The following is a 15,678-nucleotide window of genomic DNA, read 5'->3' on the forward strand; positions in this document are numbered from 1 at the left end:
AGTGGCTCACGCCTGTAATCTCACGCACTTTGGGAGGCCAAAGCAGGCGGATCACCTGAGGTTGGGAGTTCGAGACCAGCCTGACCAACATGCAGAAACCCCGTCTCTACTAAAAAAACAAAATTAGCCAGGCATAGTGGCGCATGCCTGTAATCCCAGCTACTCGGGAGGCTGAAGCAGGAGAATCACTTGAACCCGGGAGGTGGAGGTTGCAGTGAGCCGAGATCGCGCCATTGCACTCCAGCCTGGGCAACAAGGACAAAACTCCGGCTCAAAAAAAAAAAGAAAAAGAAAAAAGAAAATCCAGTAGCAAAGAGCATACCTAGTTTCCACATCTTCATTTCTAAATACCATTCTCTAATAAAAGGAGCCAGAACTCCTTGGAGAAATAGTTGATTCAAGGAGTGGAACAGAAAAAGGACACAATGAGTCTGGACTGCCTGGAGTCGCCAGAAAGTAAATAAGTACTTAAAAAACAATGAGGGCGGCTGGACGCGGTGGCTCACGCCTGTAATCCCAGCACTTTGGGAGGCCGAGGCGGGCGGATCACCAGGTCAGGAGATCGAGACCATCCGGGCTAACAGGTGTGAAACCCCGTCTCTACTGAAAAATGCAAAGAATTAGCCAGGCGTGGTGGCGGGTGCCTGTAGTCCCAGTCACTCGGGAGGCTGAGGCAGGAGAATGGCGTGAACCCAGGAGGCGGAGCTTGCAGTGAGCCAAGATGGCGCCACTGCACTCCAGCCTGGGCGACAGAGCAAAACTCCGTCTCAAAATAAATAAATAAATAAATAAACAAACAAACAATGAGGGCATGTACAAATGACTCAGGAACCAACTTGAAAGAGCTCCCAGTGGTCAAATCTGCAACAATTTGAGCAAGAAAATCATGACAGTTTTGGATTACAACCTACAGGATAAAATAAATGCCCATGAATCCATACTAATTGTATCAGAAAAACACATTTCCTTCTCTCACAGGGTCAACATAACAGAACATTTCTGACACCAGATCGCTGGGCGGGGTGACGGGGGGGTTCCCCACACCAAGCAATTCTACAACACCAGCTGGGTGTCCTACAAGCCAGTTCAATTCTGACACTATCTATGTGAAGACAGCATCAGATCCCAGTAACGGGCTCGGTCCTAAAAGACTGCCTCCAACACTGCAGGCACCCGTGCTTCTGACTGGCCAGCTATAAACTGGATGTTCCCACAATCCCCTCCTCAGGTTCAATCATTTGCTAAAGTAGCTCACAGAACTCCGGGAAACACTTTATTTATATTTATCAGTTTATTATAAAGGATATTACAAAGGATACAGATGAACAACCACATGGAAAAGATACATAGGGAGAGATCCAGAAGGGTCACGAGCACAGGTGATTCCATCCTAATGAAACATGAAAATGGATGTGTTCACCAACCCAGAAGCTCTCCAAACCCCCATAATTCAGGGATTTTTTTTTTGAGGCTTTTTATATAGGTATGACTGATTATTAGCTCTATCTCCAGTCCCTCTCCCCTGCCCAAGGATGTGAAGTGGAGCTGAAAGTTCCAAGCTTCTAATCATGGCTTGGTCTTTCTGGTGACCAGCCCCCATCCAGAAGCCTATCAAGAGTTGCCTCATTAGAACAAAAGATGTTCCTATCACCCAGGAAATTCCAAGGGATTAGGAGTTCCATGTCAGGCACTGGAATCAAAGACCAAATATTAGAACAAAAGATGCACCTAGCAACCCTACTGCTCAGGAAATTACAAGGGTTTTAGAAGCTCTGTGCCAAGAACCAGGGGACTGAGACCAAATATATTTTCACAATATCACACTAATATAAATAACTGAATAAATAAATGAGAGAGACAGGACAGCTCTACGTTAAGGTAGAAAGCTAATAATGCACACAGAAGGAATAATGGAACTAGAAAAATCGCTATTTGGCAAACAGCAAACATCACAGTAATAATTAACACAGGCAAAAACCATCAAGGAATGCTAAAATTTGTGGATAAAAGTATGATGAGAAACAGGATAATTGCACAGCCTCAAATATATATTGCAAGGGAAAAAACAGTAACTACAGTGAAAAAAAAACTAGCAGACAAAACCATAGCCAAGTGATCAACTGTAACATCACCTAGTATCCACATAATGTGCCTGCTGACAGGATGCCCTGAGAAGGGCATAATACCACTTCTGTGGTATTCTTGCCAAAAATGTATAACTTTAATCAAATCATGAGAAACAGCAAATAGAGCCAAACTGAGGAACGTTCTACAAATGACTGGCCAATAATCTTCAAAAATGTCCAGGTTATGAACAACAAAGAAAGACTACCAAAACATCTCAGATTAGAAAAGGCCGAGGAGATAACTAAATGCAAAATGGTATCCTGGACCAGAGAAAGGACTAATGGGGAAAACGGAGAAATTCAAATATGGTCTACAGATTAGTTAACAGTATTCTATCAACATTAATTCCTGGTTAGATAACTGTTCTATGGTTATACAAAATGTCAATATTTAGGGAAGCTGGGTGAAAGTTACACTAGAGCTATGTACAATTTTTGCAACTTTTTTTCCAAGTCTAAAATTACTGATATACTGTTTTCTCTACTTTTATGTAGCTGAAATTTCTTCATAAGGGGGCACAAGGAACTTCTAAAAAAATTAAAATATAGTCACTGATATTAAAACCTCAATTAACATGTTAAACTGCAAAGTTAGGCACAGCTGAAGAAAGAATTTTGTATCTAGATGGCAGGTACAAAAGAAAAAAAAAAACAGAAAGTGGCTCAGAGAAATAATGAGAGAGAAGATAAAAGAGCAAAATTAAGAGGAAAGGAACAGGGAATTAGAAAGGAACACATATCAAACAAGAGTTCCAAAGGAGACTAAGGAGAACGAAGGAAAATTAAGAAAAAAAAGGATAAGAATTCTCTAGAATTAACAAACGACAAAAATGCTTAGATTCTAGAAATATGAATCCTAACCAGGATAAATAAAAATATATCCACATCTAGACACAGGGTAGACAAAGCTGCAAAATACCAAAAATCAAGAGAAGCTTTTAAAAACCACAAAAATATTAAAAAAGATAAATGATAAATTACAATGCAATACAGACTTAATCGTACCAACAATTAAAGCCATACACCCTCAAAGGTCTGAGTGAAAATAACTAATCACGTAGAATTCTATACTCAACTAATTATCATTTCAAGAATGAGGGCAAAATAAATACATTTTTAGACAAAGACCAAGAGTTACTATTAACAGACGCTTATTGAAAGAAACACTGAAGGGCATACTTCAAACAAAAGGAAGCTGAATCCAAATGGATTAACTGGGATGCAAAAAGCAATGGTAAAATAAGAAATTGCTACACTGAGTAAACCTAAAAACATGAAACTTATTTTAAAAGGTCCTTTAAACAAAGCTACCATGTTCAATTTTTTAAAGTAATTCAACTCGTAAAAAAAACACAAAAAACAAAAAACAATGGCTTCAGTAAGATACCTTTCACAAAGAAAAAAAGCACCAAACACGGAATTCAAAAATTTCAACTAAGAATATAGCTCCCTCTCATTTATCTTGGTCAAAGGCCTTGGTTTCTTCACCCAAAGAAGGGAAGGAAGGCATTTAGCTAGAGGATCCTTAAGATTCCCTTCCAGTTCTAGGATTCAAGGGATAGAAAACAGACCTTCCCAATTTAACAGAACATCCTTCAAAACTGTAAGTTGTTTACACCAAGATCCTTCATACACAGGGACAGTGCTTTAAAGCAAGATCCAGTCTAAAGCTTTAGATTTTAAATAATTGGCTATCTGCTTCTATGCAAAAGCCAACTGGAAACGGATATGATCTCAGAAAAAGAACAAAGAAAATAATGCACTTTTAAACTGTTCCATTTTTAAAGAGCTGATGGAGGAAGGAAAGGCACGGTCCAAGTGGTAGGACAATGGAAACAGTACAAAACTCAATAAGCTTAAGTGAAAATTTCTAAAAGAAATATAGTATCAATATCAATTGTTACAAAAATAAAAACAGTCATATTTTATTCCTAGTTCACAAATTAGCTGACAAACCCCTCCTTCCAAAATCTTAAAGATTCATTGTAATTTCTGAAGAGTCATCAACTCTGGAATACATCGAAGGTAGACAAAATCCCCAAGTGCAGGCAGCCTATACTCATAAAGGTACCCTATTCTTTTTCTTTTTTTTTTTTCATCTCCAGCCATACAGAGGAAGGTATCCTTTTCTTTATAATCACCAAGTTTCAATCTTCTACTAAGGATGAATGAAAAGCTCAATGTTACAAGCAAAGAAAGCTTTTATTAAAAAGCAAAGCTATTAAAATACTGTGTTATGTAAAGGCATTCAGTTATACTACAACTACTCCCCTTCAAAATTCCTTCAATAAATGCTAGGAGATATGGAGCATAAAAAAGTAGACAATACAATTGAAACTTATTAATTTGAGACACGGTGATGGATATTACTTGATATGAAGAAACTAAAACTGGATGAGAGTTAAGATATTAAAAAAAAAAAAACCCTACATTAACATTTGAGAACACATGTACACACACACACACAAAGAGACACACACCACGAGTTTGTTGTTTCTTAATTTCCAAGACCCTGATTCATATGCCATTCAAGCTAAACCCATAATCCAGATTTCCCGAAAAGATCAGTGGTTCTTCTAACACATCACTCTTATTTTTTAGATAATGATCTCAAAAAACCTCATCTCCAAACATATGTGAATCTATATAATCTGCCTAAATGTAACTGGCTACATTTTCCACTTTCCATACAAAAAGAATCTTTTTATGGCCGGGCACAGTGGCTCACGCCTGTAATGCCAGCACTTTGGGAGGCCGAGGCGGGCAGATCATGAGGTCAGGAGATCGAGACCATCCTGGCTAACATGGCAAAACCCGTCTCTACTAAAAATACAAAAAATTAGCTAGGCAAAGTGGCAGGTGCCCGTAGTCCCAGCTACTCGGGAGGCTGAGGCAGGAAAATGGTGTGAACCCAGGAGGCGGAGCTTGCAGTGAGCCAAGATCGCGCCACTGCACTCCAGCCTGGGCAACAGAGTGAGACTCCATCTCAAAAATAAATAAATAAATAATAAATAAAAATACATACTTTTAAAATATAAATATCATTCAAAGCTGTTTAATATAAATTCACTTCAAATTGAATCATTAAAGTTTAACTTTATAAAAAAAATCTAAAATGATTTGGAATATGAAAGGATCCTAAACAAACAAACAAAACACCCTTAAACTTGACACAGGTCCTCAACATCACCAAGATTAGTACGGTTGCTTAGCATGGTAACTGTGGAATCAGACTGAGGGGCTCCAGCATTAGGAGCAGCCACATAGGAATCACCTCTACTCACTGTAACATAAGACAACTGTTTACTGTAACTCTGGTTGTTCATTTCTCTAACAATTTCATACACACATCTTCCCGTTGCTTAGTCTGAACTGTATACTGCTAGTCATTATCATAAGGAAAAAAAAATCTCAGACTAATATAATAGAGGCCAAATTTAGAGAGAGGAATAAAAATCTTCCTTCAGTCTAGGCTAAATGGACTGATTACACAAAGAACTCCATACATCCGAAAGCACACAGATGTCTGCACTAGTTCCCAGGGCTCAAACAATACCAGTCATTCAATAGCTTTCCCTTTACGTAAGTTGCTATGAGAGAGCTCAATCAGCTCTTGTGAACCTCATAATCCAGGATCCTGGAACTCTGAAAAGTCTACATTTTTCCTCAGCACTGTTTTCATGTACTTTGTCTGGAACTCAAACTTCGTATTTCCCCCAAAAAATAAATCTGGAAATCATCTCTTCTGTTTGACAAATGATGTACTCTACCTATAATTACTTTTCAACTAAAACCACAATCCACGATACAAATCTAAGATCATTAACACTGAAAGATCATCTGATGAATATATTTTTCAGTGTAGGAGTTTAAAATATAATTTTAAATACGCTCCATCATTTGTACATATATCAAATGTATATATACCATTTGACCAGATTCTATTTGTTTCCAGTTGAGTCGTTTTTAAAATAACCATGACACAAAATGACTTCTCAAAATTAAAAGAAATTTTGAGAGGACTGTTAAAGCTGGGGAGGGGGGTTGAATTTACCCGCTCTCTCTCCCCTACTCTCCCCTCCTCTGCCTCCCACATTAACCACACACATCAAAAATAATACAAAATATTTCACTGGGTGTTTGACCAAGCCTTTAGTCCACAGAAAGAGTTATTCTTCACTGAACCACCTTCAGAAGCTAAATAACACTACCTTCTACCTTCAAAGTAAATTGCTACTGATTCTTCCAATAATCTTTTTTATCAGCTAAGTCTTTGGTGAATTCTCACATTCAATAATGAGAAATAACAAGGATAAATTAAAGCCACAGAAACTCTAAAGTATTTTTTAATCAAATGGCGAAATTACTTCAGAAGATACTTATCAGACCTGCTACCCAGAAGTAAAGCTCATTAGTTTTGGGGAACAAAATGAAAATGATTAATTTACTCACTGAACTGTTAGATCCTGAAGAGTCAAGAGGAACTATATACATTCAGTTCCCTTTAATAATGTACTATCAGGTAATCATTAATCTCTTATAGAAATGATCAAGATCCCATTCCAAAATTTGGTAATGAAGCTCATAACAGCTCTTGTGCCCCTTCTAATTATTTTAACACTCTTCCTCTCTTCACATTCATGTTACATAATGCAAATAAACATGCTTTGAAGAAGAAAAAGTTGTCTCTCCCAAGTTTTCTGTCCTTAAACAGTAAAGATAAACCAAACCCCCTCTCTCCAACCAGAGTACAAAATGCAGAACTCTGAACATAATAACCATTTAACAGATATTTCATTAAATTTCAATCATCACCCTTACAGTGGTAAAATTGAACTTGTCAAGAAGAGGGGAAAAAAGAACTTTATCTTTTCACCACGGTATTCTTCCCTAATGACGACTACAAGCACCAAAATCCTATGTGTTCTACAAAGCAGTAACCTCAGAAACATTTCAACACCCTCTGAGCCTTACAAACTCTGTTAGCAAAACACAAACTCCGTTTCTCAAAAATATCTATAAAGTTCTCAACAACCAAATTCTTTGATAACTACAGTTACATCTGAGACCTCCTCCTCAGGACATCCAATCGTTTTTCCTACGATCAGAGCCACTACAATATTTCCTGGTGCTTTAAGAGCACCATCTTGCTTCAACAAACACGTTTTAATTTCACTCTAAAAAATACATATTTGTATTTCCAGACATCTCCCTCTAAAATTTCCCTATACTACTGCCCACATAATCCTTTACAGTCAAATCAGTCTTCTCATTTTTCTACAACATGGCATCCTGTTCAACCTCTGTAACCAGGCCTGATATCAAGATAAAGAAGCACATATAAACCTTTCTTCCATTCTCCCCAAGTTCTCATTTATTACATAAAAAGAATTCACTCCTTTCTATAAGTGAAATGAGTTTTAAAGCATTCTAATACAACTGAAAGCTAAAGAAAACAAAGTATTAAAATAGTACAGGTTATTTATCTTTGGATTTTAACCAAATATTAGTCATTTTAGGTTCATGTTCAGATAGTTATCTATACTTAGCCATGACAGACTAGCCATGACAATTTATTCAATAAAGAAATATCACAAAATGGTGTATACTAATAGTAGAAATGAGACATAGTAACAGAGAAGCAATGTGAGGATACAGTTCACACTCTGAAATGAGATTTACTCAGAGCTTTAAGTTTTCCTTCTCATTAGAAAATAAACCTTTATTGCAAATATATGTTTAGCTAACTAGAAATGAGTTATTTAATAATTTTTATTTTTCATTCAATACTGACATTAAATAACGCTTCAGAGTGTAACAAAAAAACACTAGTATCACAGTATCATTGTGTATATAATAAAAGGTATAAGATCTAGATTAGTCTATCTCATCTTGGGCTATCAAATACTTCTCATTTCATTCCTTCTTCTCTCTCTTTAAATTATCTTCTGATATCACAAAAAATAAATACAGAAGAAAACCCAAGAAATATAAACATGGCTATTAGAAACCCAAAACGATTTACAGAAACACTAAGAACACAACACACTGGGCACAGTGGCTCACACCTGTAATCCCAGCACTTGGGGAGGCCAAGGCAGAGCGATTGATCACTTAAGCCCAGGGGTTCAAGACCAGCCTGGGCAACACGGTGAAATTCTGTCTCTACAAAAAAAAATTTTTTTGAGACAAAGTCTCACTCTGTTGCTCAGGCTGGAGTGCAGTGGTGCGATCTCAGCTCACTGCAACCTCTGCCTCCTGGGTTCAAGTGATTTTCGTGCCTCAGCCACCCGTCTAGCTAGGATTACAGATGTGCGCCACTACGCCCAGCTAACAAAAAATTTTTTTTAGCTAGCCAGGTGTGGTAGCGCACACCTAAAGTCCCAGCTACTTGGGAGGCTGAAATGGGAGGATCACTTCAGCCTGGGAGGCTGACAGTGCAGTGAGCTTTGATTGCACCACTGCACTACAGCCTGAGTGACAAAGCAAAAACCCTGTCAAAAATAATAATAACACAACGTAACTTTCCACATTCAAGTCTACTCAACAAAGAAGCCCAAAGAATCTAAAATTCCTGTTTTCGATCTTTCTTTTCTCATAGGGGTCAGGGTGGTGTATGTCAGTGGAGAAAAACCGAAAGGAGGTATGATGATCTTCGTACACTGTACAAAAACTTACCCACTTGAAGGATCTAAGGCAATAGCTCTGGGTTGATCCAACTCTTGCCAAAATAAAACTTTTCGTAAAGATCCATCTAAATTAGAAACTTCAATCCGATTAGTTTCAGAATCTGTCCAGTACAATTTTTCTCCAAGCCAATCACATGCCAGCCCATCGGGGGACAATAATCCAGAAACAACAACATTCTGCACACTCTCAGTTTTGTTAAATTCTGTTCGTTTAATGGCTTCTTCGCTGACATCACTCCAGTATATCAAGCCATGACTAAACACAAAGTCCACCGCAGCTGCATCCTCCAAGCCTCCAACTACAATCGTAGCATTCTCTTTGCCATTTGTAGCATCAACCAATCGCAAGTCCCGTCTGTTTGCATAAAGCAACAAAGGGGCCGCTAGAACAAAAAAAGAAAAATATGTAAGTGAAAAGGAAGAAAACGTATTGGTTCTTATAAACTGCGTTTCAAATCGGTTTAAGTGAGCAAAGACTGTCGAAAATAAGAAAAGAATAAATAAATCATTAGGAGACCATCTAAACTTCACACACAAAATATTATTTTTGCAGCATTTAAAAAATAAGACATAGGAAATGGGGGGAACTATTTCCACCACGATAGTCTTTTCTTGTTAAAATAACTCAGATAAAATTTTAAAGCCTGGCTATACCAAGAATTGGCAATAATATGGAGCTACTGGAACACTCATACTCTACTGGGGTGAATGTAAAATGGTACAGCCACTTGGGAAAACAGTTTGGCAGTTTCCTAAAAGGTTAAACATACAACCTACTATACAATCCAAGGCAATAGCTAGATACTGTTTATTCCACATCTAGGTATTTACTCAAGAGAAACAAAAACATATGTCAATACAAAGACTTGTATGCAAATGCTCATACCAATTTATTTGTAATAACCCAAACTGGAATCAACCCAAATGTCATCAACAGGCTAATGGATAAAAAACTGTGATACTGCCATACAACAGAAAATAATGAACCCTTTGTACATGAAAAATGGGTGGATCTCAAAATAATTCAGAATGAAAGAAGCCAGGCCAAAACAAAGGTATATATTGCATGACTCTCATCTATATAAACTTTTACAAAAGGCAAACTTTTGTAAAAACACAAAGCAGATCAATGGCTGTCTCAAAATAGGGAAAGAAGGTGCAAAAGAATGAGGGGGAGGATTAAAAATGGGCATGAGCAAACTTTTGCAGGTGATGAGCTATATTATCAATAATGATGGTTTCGGAGGTGTAAACATGTCAAAACTTATTAAATTTTACACTTAACATAAGCAAAATTTATTGTCTATCAATTATACCTTAATAAAACTGTTACAGTTTGACAGAAATAGTTCTTAGTAAAGCTACTTTATTCTGTTCTATATTACTATTAAAATGACCTTTGAAAAGACCCGAAACTAAATATAAAGCCAATCTTACAGAAATAACATTTAACTTTGAGAAAGTTGAAGCTGTTGGGAGTGAGGTAGTATAAATTCCATGTTTTTTGGTTTTTATTAAATATCTATTCCAAGCTTCTGACATTTACTTTCCTAGTATCAAGCAACAATTAAAAATCTAGAGCACTACTGTCCTACAGAACTTTCTGTGATGATGGAAATGTCCTCTCCACTGCATAACACAGTACCACCAGTCACACGCAGCTATGGAGCGCTTAAAATGTGGCTAGTGTGACTACAAAATTAAATTTTTAATTTTATATAAACTTTTTTTTTTTTTTTTTTTTTTTGAGACAGAGTTTTGCTCTTGTTGCCCAGGCTGGAGTGCAATGGCACGATCTCAGCTCACTGCAGCCTCCGCCTCCCAGGTTCAAGCAATTCTCCTGCCTCAGCCTCCTGAGTAGTTGGGATTACAGGTGCCCACCACTATGGGTCCGGCTAATTTTTTGTATTTTTACTAGAGGTGGGGTTTCGCCATGTTGACCAGGCTGGTCTTGAACTCCTGGCCTCCGGTGATCCACCCGCCAGGGCCTCCCAAAGTGCTTGGGATTACAGGCGTGAGCCACTGCGCCCGGCCCCAATTTTATATAATCTTAATTCATTCCAATTTATATAGACAAGTGTGGCTAGTGGTAGTATTGGATAGCACACATCTAGAGGCTGGAATGCAGAACATAAATGAGGCAGCAAAAGTAAGACCAAGCCAGGCACGGTGGCTCACGCCTGTAATCCCAGCACTTTGGTTAAGCCCGGGAGTTCAAGACCAGCCTTGGCAACACATGGAAACCCCATCTCTACAAAAAAATTAATTTAAAAAAGTAGCCAGGCATAGTGGTGCACGCCTGTAGTCCTAGGTACTCAGGAGACTAAAATGGGAGGGTCACTTGAGCCCAGGAATTTAAGGCTGCAGTGAGCCTGGGTGACAGAGGGAGACCCTGTCTCAAAAAAAAAAAAAAGAGTGAGTTATGATACAATTATCTACATGATCTTCTTTCATAATTACTTACTAAGGGTCTACAACTGTGTCATCTGAAGCCAAGCCCAACTACCATTTAGAAGTAACGATTCCCCTTTTCAAGAAATTACTCCAATCTCAAAAAAGTGTAAGAAAAAAGTGATGTTTACACTATAGATTGTGTCTGTCAAATAGTTATAAATGTATACTATTTTCATCTATAAGTACAACATAAACTTCCCTAACTAAGCTTAAATCCAACTTTCTTAGTCAAAAACAAACTGGCAGACAGCTTTTTTAAAAAGTGGCTAACCAATCTTTCTGCTTATTCTGTGTATCTGCTGCAGCTATCAGCAAATTCATAAACTTCCCTAACAGAGTCACTTTTAATTCATTTCTGGCCTTCACACATCACACTGATTTATCAGTCCCCACAGAGCCCACTATACTGAGTCTCTCATACTATGGGCCAAATATAAACATCAGAAAAAAGGTCCCTACTAGTGAAGGATACAATGCTAAGTGCTGCATAAGGCTAAGGAATACCCACGAAACACTTAAAATTGAAAATTCAAGAGTGATAATCATCTAATATTTACTGGGCACCTTCTTTATGGCACTATCTTGGAAAACTATATCAAAGCTATAGGACATTAGGTGGCAGCCAAATGTCTTTCATTGCTTTCAAGTCAAACTTTAACACTTCTACGTGTACTGAATATTTTTGGTCTACAAAATCCAAAAACGCTTTCTGGTCAGTTAAGGCCTCACAAGCATTCTGAGTCTCTTCTCCCTCCTGAAAACGGGTGAAGGAGGCAAAGTTAATCTTTTTTAAGTTAGCAATACTGGTTACAATTGAGGATTTGTAAAGGACTGTACATAAATCTGCTGCACATAAACCACACTATTGAAAGGAAATCCCAGGGTTCATCCTGTCCAACCACCCTTCTGATGCTTGAATACTTTCTATTACATTGTCACCAGTATCTGTTCAGCAACATATTAAATGGGATATCTGATAGGTATAATTTGATTTGTAACATTGTTTTTATCTACCAAACAGATACACTGGAACCACATACTTGCTCCCTGGAACATGCCAGTATCTTCCATTCCAGAGAGCTTACTTTCTGACTGCCTAGTATTCAGATAACCCAAATAATCACCATCACTTCTCTTCAGTGGAACACTCACAGTGCTCAGGAATCCTTGTTTTCCTTTATTAAACTCCTGGGAAACTTTCTCTACCAGCCTTTCTAAGCCTTTTCTACTTTTAAAGACTAATTTCCATGCCCTGAATCCTTTATCCTCAGATCATCTCATAAAACAATCTCAGTGAAGCAGGATACAAGGTAAATGTCATACATCCCCAACATCTTAATTTATACCTCTCAAAATTTTCTCTCCACCCATCTTCCCTTACCTTGTCCTCAGTCTCAAATGAGAAGATGGCCTTCCTCCTAAGGCTAAAGCAATACTTTCGGTTCAGCCTCCTTACCTCCTCTCTACAACTTCGCTCTATCAATTGTTCTGTATTTCTCGTATTTTCAATGGTTTACGCCAGGTTCCTTGCTATTGTTTTGTTTTAATAACCCTAACCTTGCTACCATCAGAATAATAATTATATTTCTACTAACTGCAAAATCTTATAACATTGGTATATATACTTCACACTACCATTCATTAGCTATTACTCTTTTATCTAACTTCCTATCCATCACTCAACTGCAAGTGCTTCCTCTAAATCTTTATAACCAAATCCAGTGGTCTTTTCTCAGTCTTTACTCTTTTTTTTTTTTTTTTTTTTTTTTTTTTGAGATGGAGTCTGGCTCTGTCGCCCAGGCTGGAGTGCAGTGGTGCAATCTCGGCTCACTGCAAGGTCCGCCTCCCGGGTTCACGCCATTCTCCTGCCTCAGCCTCCCGAGTAGCTGGGACTACAGGCGCCCGCCACTACGCCCAGCTAATTTTTGTATTTTTAGTAGAGATGGGGTTTCACCGTGTTAGCCAGGATGGTCTCGATCTCCTGACCTCGTGATCCGCCCGCCTCGGCCTCCCAAAGTGCTGGGATTACAGGCTTGAGCCACTGCGCCCAGCCTCTCAGTCTTTATTCTTAACACCTCTAGAGCAGTCAATGCTGTTGACTATATCCCTACCTATATAGAATGTTCTCCTCATACAATACTACCTATTTTTTCTTGTCTTGTTTCAAACCTTCCACTTCCTATATATAGGTATCCTAAGACTCTCTGTTGTTCCAAATGACAGAGTATAAAAAATTAAAGTTCACAAGCAACAGCAACACAAGGTGGCAGCCACCACAGGCTCGGGGGTAAAAGTCCCTTGCAATTTCCCACTTTTGGAAGAACTCAAAGAAGGCCAGAAAGGAGTAGGAGATGGCAGTTAGCTGAGGTCTAGACAATGATAAAGACGTGACACTTACAAGACGTACAGGGATGATAATTGGGCCTGCAAGAACAATTTATGAAAACTGAATATACAGCCTTAAAATAAAATGTGGACCTAAATACCCAGAAGCACCCCCCTTTGTAAGATTTGTAACAAAAAATTAATATGAATGGAGTTAATAGTTCTAATGGATTGGTGGACCCAAGAGCCATATCAGTGCTAGCAAAATGGCAGAATTCACAGCACCAAAGTTGTCCTGCAAGAGCTTTGGCGCCTAATGGTGTCTAAAGAAAATATGAAACTCCCTCAGCCACCTCAAGGACAGTGTTACAGCAACTAATCGAAAAGAAAAACCACAACACAGTGTTACAGCAATTAATCGAAAAGAAAAACCACAGGCCCTTCCTCTTCCCCCTCATTCAATTTAAGCAGTCTTCATTTTCCACAGCAGCAAATTTTCTAGATATGTCTTGTAGACCTCAAAGTACTGGAAAGGAAGCTCCCATTCAAAGGAAATTTATCTTAAGATGCTGTAAAACTAATTTTTTGTCCATTTGAAATATATAAGTTGTGCTATAACAGAAGGAAGGAAGGAAGGAAGGAAGGAAGGAAGGAAGGAAGGAAGGAAGGAAGGAAGGAAGGAAATAAATTAATTAAAGTTCACCTGGTCAACAAGCAATTCTATGCAGCTAATTCCCAAAACATCATCTCTAGTTCTGTCCCTCTAACTTTTTGTTGGCCATCTCTACCTCCCGTTAAATTAAATTCATCACCTTTCCCCCAAAACAACAAAATCCCTCACCAGTCAATGGTACACAATTCTAACCTTACTGGCATGCCTTGGAGCCATCTTTGAGCCCCTCCCCTTTTCCCCTAGTCTGACAATTACTGTCTTGTTGACTCTTATTTTACAAGCATGTCTTTAAATCTGTCTCCTCTTCTCCATTTTTAAAACCACTATCCTACTCTAGACCTTCATGACTTTAGGCCTAAAATATCCTAATAGTAAGTTATCTCAATATTCTCCCCTTTCCTTTTCTACTTCTAATACTTTCAGTTTAGCCAACTCAAAAGCCATTCTGATTCCCCTTGCCTAAATTTACAAAATGCCTCAATACCTCAGCCTTCCACCATGACTTCTACCTAGGACTCTAAATTAATCTTTTATAGTCTCTGCATCATACAAACAGGTTTCAAAACATGTAAACTGGGAGTACATCACACCCATCATTGCAGAGTATTCATTTTCCTGCCTACTCCATACTTCTCTTTTTCTCCCAGCAAGCAAGTCCTTCAAGGCCAGAGTCAAACCTTACCTACTCTGTAACCCTTTCTAATTGACTCAGCTTTACTTCTTTTAATCCTTAGTCTTTAGTACTTACATGATATTAGCTTTTTTTTTTTTTAAGCATACTTCCTACCTCTAGGATCTCAGCCCTTGGAAACAAGAACCATACCTTATAACTAATTTTATCATCAATGCCTACTACAGTTCACTGCACACAGAAATATCATATACATATTTACTAATATTTTGGGGGTTTTGTTTTGAGACAAAGTCTCACTGTGTCACCCAGGCTGGAGTGCAGTGGCACAATCTCGGCTCACTGCAACCTCCGACTCCCTGGTTCAAGAGATTCTCCTGCCTCAGCTTCCCAAGTAGCTGGGACTACAGGCGCCCAACACCACACCCGGCTAATTTTTGTATTTTTAGTAGAGGCAGGTTTCACCATGTTGGCCAGGCTGGTCTCGAACTCCTAACTTCAAATGATCCACCCACCTCAGCCTCCCAATGTGCTGGGGTAACAGACGTGAGCCAACGCACCTGGCTTGATTTTTTTCTTCTTCTTCGTTTTTCGAGATGGGGTTTCGCTCTGTCACCCAGGCTGGAGTGCAGTGGTACAATCTGGGCTTAATGTAACCTTCACCTCCCAGGTTCAAGTGATTCTCCTGCCTCAGCCTCCCTCGTAGGTGGGATTACAGGCGCTCGCCACCACACCCAGCTAATTTTTTTGTATTTTTAGTAGAGACGTGGTTTTGCCATG

At 38.5% G+C, this 15,678-nt stretch overlaps 1 protein-coding gene and 1 pseudogene across 15 annotated transcripts in view; one reads left to right on the plus strand and one right to left on the minus strand.

The window, feature by feature from the left end:
* LRP6 (LDL receptor related protein 6) overlaps positions 1–15,678 on the minus strand; it is a 151,020-nt gene that overhangs the window by 119,433 nt on the left and 15,909 nt on the right. For 13 of the 15 annotated variants that reach the window (NR_182264.1, XR_002957325.2, NM_002336.3 and 10 more), the window contains exon 2: positions 8,805–9,198. The exons of 1 other annotated variant lie outside the window; for it this stretch is intronic. Coding sequence is in view for 10 of the 14 variants with exons in the window: in NM_002336.3 (NP_002327.2) it covers positions 8,805–9,198 (394 nt within the window). In the remaining 4 variants the exon portion in view is untranslated. The remainder of the gene's footprint in view (positions 1–8,804; positions 9,199–15,678) is intronic. One more of the 15 variants, NM_001414254.1, reaches the window with a different exon arrangement.
* LOC101929053 (ubiquitin-conjugating enzyme E2 variant 1-like) lies at positions 11,896–13,973 on the plus strand (annotated as a pseudogene).

This window comes from Homo sapiens, chromosome 12 (assembly GCF_000001405.40).
Source record: "Homo sapiens chromosome 12, GRCh38.p14 Primary Assembly".
NCBI lineage: Eukaryota > Metazoa > Chordata > Mammalia > Primates > Hominidae > Homo > Homo sapiens.